General features: G+C 38.4%; 1 protein-coding gene across 12 annotated transcripts in view, besides 6 other annotated features; it reads left to right on the top strand.

The window, feature by feature from the left end:
• Window positions 82–271: an enhancer, noted in NCBI's record as "active region_5363". NCBI's record gives its function as "activates an Ori minimal core promoter by ATAC-STARR-seq in GM12878 lymphoblastoid cells {active_cell/tissue: GM12878}" and the evidence as "EXISTENCE:reporter gene assay evidence [ECO:0000049][PMID:35858748]".
• The window catches only part of DLG2 (discs large MAGUK scaffold protein 2), a 2173362-nt gene continuing 2163020 nt past the window's right edge, over window positions 99–10440 (top strand). For 5 of the 12 annotated variants that reach the window (NM_001351275.2, XM_017017257.3, XM_047426498.1 and 2 more), the window contains exon 1: window positions 99–1873. In NM_001351275.2, the coding sequence (NP_001338204.1) occupies window positions 1855–1873 (19 nt within the window). In that variant the 5' untranslated portion in view covers window positions 99–1854. Of the gene's footprint in view, window positions 1886–10440 lie in introns of all 12 variants that reach the window. The other 7 variants (NM_001351274.2, XM_017017256.3, XM_047426494.1 and 4 more) reach the window with 3 other exon arrangements.
• Window positions 412–461: an enhancer, noted in NCBI's record as "active region_5362". NCBI's record gives its function as "activates an Ori minimal core promoter by ATAC-STARR-seq in GM12878 lymphoblastoid cells {active_cell/tissue: GM12878}" and the evidence as "EXISTENCE:reporter gene assay evidence [ECO:0000049][PMID:35858748]".
• Window positions 542–701: an enhancer, noted in NCBI's record as "active region_5361". NCBI's record gives its function as "activates an Ori minimal core promoter by ATAC-STARR-seq in GM12878 lymphoblastoid cells {active_cell/tissue: GM12878}" and the evidence as "EXISTENCE:reporter gene assay evidence [ECO:0000049][PMID:35858748]".
• Window positions 542–1082: a biological region, named in NCBI's record as "H3K27ac hESC enhancer GRCh37_chr11:85338434-85338942".
• Window positions 574–1082: an enhancer, noted in NCBI's record as "H3K27ac hESC enhancer chr11:85338434-85338942 (GRCh37/hg19 assembly coordinates)". NCBI's record gives its function as "activates a minimal SCP1, AML or CMV promoter by ChIP-STARR-seq in naive H9 embryonic stem cells {active_cell/tissue: H9 hESC(naive)}" and the evidence as "EXISTENCE:reporter gene assay evidence [ECO:0000049][PMID:30033119]".
• Window positions 3021–3221: a silencer, noted in NCBI's record as "peak1374 fragment used in MPRA reporter construct". NCBI's record gives its function as "represses an SCP1 promoter by STARR-seq MPRAs in K562 erythroleukemia cells {active_cell/tissue: K562}" and the evidence as "EXISTENCE:reporter gene assay evidence [ECO:0000049][PMID:32103011]".

Raw genomic sequence — 10440 nt, 5'->3', positions numbered from 1 at the left:
CCTGACTGTGATTGGGCGCGGCGTCTAGAAATTACGGCCACTTATTCGCTTAGAGGAGGTCCAGGCGCCTGTGGGCCTGCCCCCCTCGCCAGCCGAGTATTTCCTTCCCTGACTATTTATCAGCTTAGCTCCCTGATCTCTTCGCGTCCTGCGGGAAAGATGGGGCGGCCCGAATGTTGTAATGTTACTGCGCTCCTGCCTCTCCTCAGGGCAGCTGGGAACTAGCTGCCTGCCCCTTTCAGTCCTTGAGGGAACTCGCCCCTTTGCCCTGGCCTGTGTGGTGTTAAAGCTCTGTTTCTCGGGCACCTCCTCCTCCAAACCCCGGACCAGCCGCCCAGCGCCGTCAGAGCAGCCCCGACTAGCCTCCTCTCCTCTCAGCCGTCTGACTCCTCTCCCCAGTCTGTAGTCCCCTCAATTTGCATCCTTTAGCCCCGCTTGGAAAGAGACCGGAGAGAAATTTGCCCACTACCCCCGCGAGAAGACCCACTTGTCAGCCGTGTCTCGGGGTGGGGGGCACTGCAAGGCCTGGCGCTGTTTTGTGCACGTTAAATGCCCAGCAGTATCTCCCAGACCGGCAACCCCCGACCCTCCAGTCTCCATGTCTTACAGAAGCCAAATTCGAGAGTTATATAATTTCTAGTGCTGCTGTTGCTCCTGCCTGAGGAAACACTTCATCGCGTGGAGGGTGCAGGACATTTCAGTGCTCTTCCCTAAAAGAACGGGGCTTGGGCAGGGGTGGCCAGCGGTGGCAAAGAAATGTCTTGTCTTTTCTGCAAAAGGAAGGTGGGTAGTTTGAAGAGAGATTGAGAGAAAAGGTGGATGTGAAAGCCAAGCAGCTGCACTTTCTCATTTAGGAAATCGCGGACCGTTTACATAGCTTATGCTTACATGTCTAATACTACTACGGCGTCTCTGAAAACACCTTTGGGGGAAGGTTTGGCTTCTCTCGAAGTCTCAGTGTTTTTCCTCGCCGGATAGGGAGCTGCTTGAATGCGAAGAGATGGCATGATGTGAATGACTCCAGTGTGAAGAAATCTGCTTCGCCAACTCATCCTGCATCAAGTGCCCATTGAGTAGCACTGTCACTTTAATGTCTCCATGCCAAGGGATTGCTTTCCTTTTTTTTCAATCCTCTCGGTTAATACATGGGAGGATCAGAATCAGAGGGGCATTAAGGATCAAGCCTGGGGGCTTGGAGAGCACAGAAGAAAAAAATGAAAGGGACAGCAAGCTGGATTCTGAGTTACTGAGGGGGTGAGATCCGGAACTTCTGATCAGTAAATATAAGGGGGCCTTTCAATGTGTGTTCTGCCACAGAAAACTGTTCAAACTCACCTATCTTTTTAGAGACTGGAGTCAAAGAGATTTTTAAAAGTATTTTTGGGGAGGTGGGGTTACATTTTTCTCTACAGATTTGAGTATCTTTATCATCATCTTTGAATTTGACCATGTATAAAGTAATGAGACCTGTCTAAATTTGGTTTGTGCCTTAATTGAGTTAGTCATTGAACTTCCAAAAATGTTGCTGCCTGAAGAGGAATTTCAGTAACGTTCTTCATGTTTACAATAATTTTCCCAGTTTGTAAAAACAGTCTAAATATTTTCTGAAAATTGAAAAACTTGAAAAACTAAAAAATTACGTTGCTGTAAACTCTGTGGGCGGTGTAAAAAGTTTAGTTGTGGAAAAAATACATCATTATTTTCTTTGTCTGACATAGAAGACTCAGCCTGGATTTCAAAACTGAACACTGAAGTGGTTTGCAACAGTTACCTGGCTCTTGGCCTCAATCCAGCTGGATCAAACTGAGACCTGAAAAGAGATATTGACTCCTGTGGCAGTGGAAAGACCCAAGAATGCCAGTCAAGAAGACAGGTGGGCCATAAGGTTGCTATATAATATTTCTCCCTTTTGTTGGTTCTGGTACTTGTAATTTAAATTATATTCCATTTGAGAGTAAAGTTTTGCTTCAGTTTGGGGGAAATATTTATTGTAATATAGTTTCAGTGGTACATAATTCAGTAATATTATTTTACTAAAGTAAAAGGAAGCAAGACTATAGTATTTATTGATAGATATTTATGATTTCATAAATCAGGTTGTTTATATCACCGTTGGTAATAAGAATAGATTCAGTACCGCAGATTTGGAGTCTCCTTTAGCTTGTTTTCTTAGCTTGTTGAAGGTTACTTTTAAGCAGTCTTTAAAAAAGAAACTTGTGCAGTGGAGCTCTTCCTCATGGGTTTAATATTTATCAAACTAATTACAGAATTGTGAAAGGTAGCAAAGTAATTTCATTTGCACTGAACAAAATTACAGCTTTATAATTTATCTTTTGGTTAAAAAATAGACTTATTATTTGGATTTATTCTAGTGTAAATCTTCACTTTTGTGATAAAGCACAACTTTCGTGACTATTGTGCTTTTCCAGATATATGCATTATCCAATAACATGATTGTCAAGTTCCCCAAATGGGGCAAACACCTGTTTTTTTCCTCCCTCCTCAACAACTTTTATTATTGGAATTGATCAAGATCTAGTGAATTCCTGAAGCATAGTTGATTATATTCTGAACTTGGGGATTCAGTTTAGCTTAGATGCACCCCAGGTTAACTTTGTTCCAAAGGATCCTAGTTTGGGACTGTTTTTGTTTTGTTTTGTTTTGACATTATATGGAAGGTGAGATCAACTGTAAAGAGTTTCTCAAGAGTTTTGAATCAAAACTTATATGAACAGCCTTGAACTCTGCTATACTGGACTAATATAGATCCAAATGTTGTCCAGTTATGTGAGTTGCTACAATCTGAAACTAAAGCTCTGGGTGAATTGCAGGTTAAAGTGGAACTTATCTCTGCATGGTGTTTAATTCTTCTACCTGTGGATTTGTTAGGGATGTTGAGGAAACTTATAATCACTGAGATGCCTTATCCAAGCTGATATTTGTAGAGATGGACAATGATATATAAAACTTTTGGAACACCTAGAACTGTGATATTTGCACACTGGGATTTAAGATTGGGATTGTTTCCTCCCCCTGCTGTTTCTAATAATACCACTGACAGAAGTAAACTGCCTGAGATTTTGGAGCCACACTTGTCCAGACCAGACACAATTGGTTTATCTAGAACAAGAATGGTTTTGGGAATGTAGCCAATAAATGATATGGCTCTTTGACATATTTAAGTTGATGTGTGTTTTTATTCTTTCTACCATTTCTCTAGAGAGTTTCTTTTGGATTACCTTATTTTGAACTAATAATGGAATTAAACACATTACGTGTGTGTGTGAGAGAGAGAGAGACAGAGAGGAAAAGAGTGAAAGGAAGAGAGAATGGGAAGGAGGAGAGACAGAGAAAGAGATAAAAAGGTATGTGGGAAGGAAGAGGAGGAAGGTCAATTGATATTCTAGGTATAACTTAACTAAGCAGGTTTAGTTAGAAAGTTTAGAACTTAATGTTTCTAAACCCCATAAACCGAGTTTCTTAAAAGTTCTTCCCTTTAAAGAACTGTTACAGAAATTGCTGATACATTGGTGAAATTATAATACTTTAGAAGAATTTCCTTTCTTTCCTTCTTCCTCTCTTCCTTTGCCTCCCTCCTTCCCTTTCTTCTTTCCTTCTTCAATAATGAATTGACTAATGGATTGAATTTTTAAAGGAATCAACAAGTTCTTATTAGAAAAACCAGTTTATATTTCTATGATACCAGAGTATATGTTGTATATTTTCCTTATAAACTGATCTAGAGAAACAATGTATCTTGCTTTTAATCTCTTAAAACTGCTAGTATTATGATACATATTCTTGAATATTATAGACAACTAGCCAAACAAGTTATGTGTATATTGTATTTTTCATTGGCTATGCTTACTATCTCTACTGTTTATATAATATAAGAACAGTATTTTTAAGTTTAACCTAGATTTATTCTGCAGGGATCACTGTCCTCTGTCACCTTGAGTCTTTTTCTCTCTTCATTGTTTCATGTGGTAGACATGACGAAAAAGCTAGACTTAATGTGATTCTAAACAATAACTATCCTCACTGAGCCAAGTGTTTATTCATTGTTGAACATATTCTCATTAAAGTATGAAATTTTCATAAGATGGATTTTCATTTGGTATTTAGTTAGTATATTTTTGTCAAAGAGAGAGGAGATTCTTTTACTGATACCATGCAACCATGGTGGGAATTGGGAATGGGTGTGACATCTCACTAAGCCCATTTCTAGGTGCCATTCTGGACTGCCCTTGGATAAGCTGAAACTACTGTGCCTCAAACCCCATATTAACTGCTCGTTTGCTTTATGACATTACTTTCTACTTCTCTCACTCTAGTCTCTTCGCATTTTTACAGATCTCAGTTTTATCAACAGAAGACTCTTCTGTTTCCTCATAGAAGGTTTTTTTTCCTCAGCAGTTGCTTTTCATTCAAGATTTTCTTATCTATAGTAGTAACTTTATTTGCTCCCAGGTGAGCCCTTGGGACAATCTTGGACATATTTTAATTTGTGAAAATTTAGGACCAATTCAGGATAAGTTGTATTAGTATTCTCTGATATGATGCAAGACCATAGTGTGTTATAAGGGTCTGTTTTAACAAGTCTTCTTGAATTGATCTGATATGATTTCCTACTGTGTTAACATAAGAAATAAAAGTTAATGATAGGTACGTCATTTGCCATGTTTTACAGCAGAAAGTTGCTGTTTTAAAGATAAAAATATGCTTTAACAGAATTTTCTAGTACAATGCAGCTTCTTTTTTGAATGGCTTTTTGTTCTCATTGTCATTAAATATGTGGAAGAAATCAATGCCTTTATTACTTTGAGATAAATGTTCATTTCATTTCAGTGTTTTAAAAAATTGTCCTATTGCCAGGCGCGGTGGCTCACGCCTGTAATCCCAGCACTTTGGGAGGCCGAGGCGGGCGGATCATGAGGTCAGGAGTTCAAGACCAGCCTGGCCAACGTGGTGAAACCCCATCTCTACTAAAAATACAAAAATTAGCTGGGCATAGTGGTGCGTGCCTGTAATCCCAGCTACTTGGGAGGCTGACGCAGGAGAATTGCTTGAACCCAGGAGGTGGAGGTTGCAGTGAGGTAAGACTGTGCCGCTGCACTCCAACTTGGCGACAGAGAGAGACTTCGTCTCAAAAAAAAAAAAATTGTCCTATTGTCTTCGGAGCTTCTTTTAAACTGGTGTAGAAGTTTGTCTGAAATTATTTATTTATATGACCCTTTATTTCCTTTGAATTATTTTTTTGCAGTGGTTCTCAGTGATATAATATATATATAAACATTTTTATCATGTACTGAAAGCTAAGTCCTATCTTTTTTATATGTATATGTTTTGACATTATAGCTTTCAAAGGAAGCTGAAGAATGTTATATAATTGGAATCTTTTTTTTTTTTTTTGGGAGACAGAGTCTTGCTCTGTAGCCCAGGTGGGAGTGCAGTAGTGTGATCTCGGCTCACTGGAACCTCCGCCTCCGGGGTTCGTGCAATTCTCTTGACTCAGCTTTCTGAGTAGCTGGGATTACAGGTGCGTGCCACCACACCTGGCTAATTTTTGTATTTTTAGTAGAAACAGGGTTTCACCATGTTGGCCAGGCTGATCTCGAACTCCTGACCTCGTTATCCACCCACCTTGGCCTCCCAAAGTGCTGGGATTACAGGCATGAGCCAGTGCGCCTGGCCTTAGAATCTTAAGACATGATATTGCCATATATCTCATAGGCACCCTTGAAACTGAGATTACAGTTTCCTGGACTCACAGTTCTTAAATTATCTCTTTGCTTTTGGTTGACTGTATACTTCATAAAAGTGTCATTTCTTTTTTTTTTTTTTCCTCTGGGGAAGAGGACCTTATGACTCTCCTGCTTATTTTTTCCCTATTCAAAGTTTTCTTCTTTTGTTGTTTCCTGCACATTATGGCTCCACTTCTTGTTTTATAGTATCTTACTAATTTACATTTGCTTTTTGTTATCGGGTATACTCTGTTTTCATCTCTAGTTTTTCTTAAGTTCTTAAAATCATTTTTTTTTCAGAATCAATAAGAGGGGGAATATGTACAGGTATATCTCAGAGATATTGCGGGTTAGGTTCCAGACCACTGAAATAAGGCCTATTATCACAATGAAGCAAGCTACACAAATATTCTGGTTTTCTGATGCATATATACAATATATTGTATACTACGGTATATATGCACTGGGAAACCAAAATATTTGTTGTATACAGTACAGTATATACTATACTATAGTCCATTAGGTTTGCGATCGTATTATGTCTAAAAACAATGTACGTACTTTAAGTAAAAATGCTTTACAACTAAAAAATGCTAATGATCATATGAGCCTTTAGCGAGTAGTAATCTTTTTGCTGGTGGAAGATCTTGCTTCGTTGTTGATGGCTGCTAACTGATCAGGGTGATGATTGCTGAAGGTTGGGATGTCTAAGGCAATTTGTTAAAATAGGACAACAATGAAGTTTGCCACATCAATTGACTCTTTATTTTATGAGAGATTTCTCTGTAGCATGAGATGCTGTTTGACAGCATTTTACCCACAGTACAACTTCTTTCAAAATTGGAATTGGTTTTCTCAAACCCTGCTGCTGCTTTATCAACTAAGTGTATGTAATATTCTAAACCCTTTGTTGCCATTTCAAACAATGTTCACAACATCTTCACTGGAAGTAGATTTCATCTGAAGAAACCACTTTCTTTGCTCATCCATAAGAAGCAACTCCTCATTCATTCCAGTTTTATCATGAGATTGCAGCAATTCAGTCACATCTTCAGGCTTCACTTCTAGTTCTAGATCTCTTGCTATTTCCATTCCATCTGAAGTTACTTCTTCCACTGAAGACTTGAATCCCTCAAAGTCATCCATGAAAGTTGGAATGAATGTCTTCCAAACTCCCGTTAATGTTGATATTTTGACCTCCTCCTGTGAATCAAGAATGTTCTTAATGGCATATAGAATGATGAGTTCTTTCCAGGAGGTTTTCAATTTACTTTGGCCAGATCTATCAGGGAATCACTGTGGCAGATATAGTCTTACAAAATTTATTTCTTAAATAATAAGGCTTGAAAGTTGAAGTTACTCCTTCATCTGTGGCCTGCAGAATGGATGTACTATTAGCAGGCATGAAAACAACTTTAATCTCCTTGTATATGTTCATTGGAGCTCTTGGGTGACTAGGTGCATTGTCAATGAGTAGTAATATTTGGAAAGGAATCTTTTTTTTTTTTTTCTGAGTAGTAGTTCTCAACAGTGAGCTTAAAATATTCAGTAAACCATGCTGTAAACGGATGTGCTGTCACCCAGGCTTTTGTTGACCTACTTTTAGAGCATGGACAGAATAGATTTAGCATAATTCTTAAAGACCCTAGGATTTTTGGAAGGGTAAATGAGCATTGGCTTCAACGTAAAGTCACCAGCTACATTCACCCATTAGCCTCTAAGAAGCGTCAGCCTGTCCTTTGAAACTTTGAAATGAGGCATTGATTTCTCTCTAGCATTTTCTTCTGATGTAAGGCTATTTTGTCTGAATTGAAAATCTGTTGTTTAGCCATTTTCATCAATTATCTCAGCTAGATCTTCTTGATAACTTGCTGTAGCTTCTTCATCAGCACTTGCTGCTTCACCTTGCACTTTTATGTTGTAAAGATGACTTCTTTCCTTTCACCTCATGAACCAACCTTTGCTGGCTTCCAGCTTTCTTCTGTGGCTTCCTCACCTCTCTCAGCCTATATAGAATTGAAGAGAGTTAGGGCCTTGCTCTGGATTAGACTTTGGTTTGAGGGGAATTACAGCTGGTTTGATCTTCTGTTCAGATCACTAAAACTTTCCCTATATCAACAGTAAGCGTGTCTCTCTTATTATTCGTGTGTTCACTGAAGTGGCCCTTTTAATTTCCTTCAAGAGTTTTTCCTTTGCATTCACAACTTGGCTATTTGGTGCAAGAGGGCTGCCTAGCTTTTGGCTTATCTCAGCTTTCAACATAACTTCCTCACTAAGCTTAATCATTTTCTAGCTTTGAGTGTGAGAAATGTGTAACGTTTCCTTTCACTTGAACACTGAGAGGCCATGGTAGAGTTATTAATTGGCCTAACTTTAATATTGTTGTGTCTCCAGGAATAGGGGGACCTGAGGAGAGGGAGAGAGATGGGGCAATGACCAGTTGGTAGAGGAGTCAGATAACACACAACATTTACAGATTAAGTTTGCTGTCTTATGTGGGTATGATTTGTGGCGCCCCAAAACAATTACAATGAACATCAAAGATCACTGATTACAGATCACTGTAACAAATAAAAGACTAATGAAAAAGTTTGAAATATTGTGAGAATTACCAAAATGTGACGCAGAGACATGAAGTGAATATATCCTGTGGAAAATTGCCAGTGATAGACTTGTTTGACACAGGGTTGTCACAAACTTAATTTGTGAAAAACGTGTTGTCTGCAAAGTGCAGTAAAGCAAAGTGCAATAAAATGAGCTATGCCTGTACCTGACTTCATTGAGTGGCCTTGTGTGGTTATTTTATTCCTTTTGCAAGCATTTTACCAAATTTGTATTTGAATTTTCATGTTTGCCATACCAGTAATATATGGAGAGCTTGTCTTTTTTTTTTTGAGACGGAGTTTTGCTCTGTTGCCCAGGCTGGAGTGCAGTTGCGCAATCTCGGTTCACTGCAACCTCCACCTCCTGGGTTCAGGCGATTCTCCTGGCTCAGCCTGCCGAGTAGCTGGGATTACAGGCGCCTGCCACTGTGCCTGGCTAATTTTTTCATTTTTGGAAGAGAGGGGATTTCACCATGTTGGGCAGGCTGACCTCAAACTCCTGACCTCAGGTGATTCATCTGCCTCCACCTCTGAAAGTGCTGGGATTACAGGCATGAGCCACTGCATATGGCTGCACATGTTTTTTCTGTTTTCCAAAACTTCAAGTTTTTTTTTTAATCTCTTCACAGCCATAAAACTCAAAAGAATTAAGCACTGAATCATCCTAGAGAAAGATGGGAAAACACAGTTTTCAAACTTTTGCATTTTCTGTAAGTCAAAGTAAAATAGACAATTTACTAAAGTTTTTTTTTTTAATTTAAAATTCCCCAATTAAAAAAATTAGCTGGGCTTGTTGGCATGTGCCTATAGTCCCAGTTACTTGGGAGGCTGAGACTGGAGGATTGCCTGAGCCCAGGAGTTTGAGACTGCAGTGAGCTGTGATTGTGCCACTGAACTCCAGCCTGGGTATCCCATATCTTTTTTATTTTAAAAGAAATTCCCCGTAGGGACAATTTTGACCTTGGATAAGCTATAGACTCTTGATATTGTAAAATATTAATTAATCCAGGAGGCATAAATAGAATGAATTCCAGAATGAGAAATAGAAGAATACTTTTTGTGTTTAACTACTGATTAGGAGTTTGCTATGAAGCAACTTAGTGAGGAAGACGTAGAGATAAAATGATCTGTTAATTGATTTTATTTTACATATCTATTGGGAGAGTACAAAGCATATGCTAATGACTTGATACTAGAAAATGTGTGAACTTCTGGGTTTTTGGAAATCTGCTCAAGTGTTTTTATTTATGATAGAATATTTGATTTCTCCCTTAGGCCTATTATTGTTTACTTTTGTGGGTAGAAGAATCTAGTCAGTGAGGTATGCACAAAACATTGGATTTTACTTATTTATTTTTAAAAAACTTCAACTTTTTCTTAGATTCAGTGAGTACATGTGCTGATTTGTTACATGAGTATATTGTGTGATGCTGAGGTTTTGGATATGAATGATTCTGTCACCTAGGTATTGAGCATAGTACTCAATAGGTGGTTTTTTAGCCCTTGCCCCACTAGTCCCTTGCGTAGTGTCTATTGTTCCTGTCTTTATGTCCATGTATACCCAATTCTTAGTTCCCACTTGTAAGAACATGCGGTATTTTGTTTTCTGTTTCTGTGTTAATTTGCCTGGGATAAACATTGGGTTTTTAAAATGTTGGATTAAGGCATTCTGTTCATTCATGCCTTTGTCAATAAGTAAATTTCTCACTGTTCTGTAAAATACATTTACTGAACTATACGAATACTATACTTTCTTAAATATATATTCTCCTTATATGCTTATTTCTTAATACTATGTTACCATGTCAGTGATTACAAAATATTTTTTAGTATAAGGGAGAGATTTTTTTTTTGATTGGGATAAGGGAATGTGTTCTCCAGCTACAATTCTTGCCCAGGAATTTATGGCAGTCAAGACACAAGTATTTCTATATCCTCAATGTAGGTTGCTTTGTCAGCAAAGGATCATGAGTTTTATCCAGTCTCTTCTGTCCAGTTAGTCATTCTGAATTCCAACTAATAAGCTTTCCGCATGGGTTCAATTTTTAGTAAGTTTTCAAAGCTATTTCAAGAATTATGGCCAAATCACCTTC

Source organism: Homo sapiens, chromosome 11, assembly GCF_000001405.40.
Source record: "Homo sapiens chromosome 11, GRCh38.p14 Primary Assembly".
Lineage (NCBI taxonomy): Eukaryota > Metazoa > Chordata > Mammalia > Primates > Hominidae > Homo > Homo sapiens.
The sequence above is the reverse complement of the archived record's forward strand: the minus strand, read 5'-3'. Positions and strand labels throughout refer to the sequence as shown.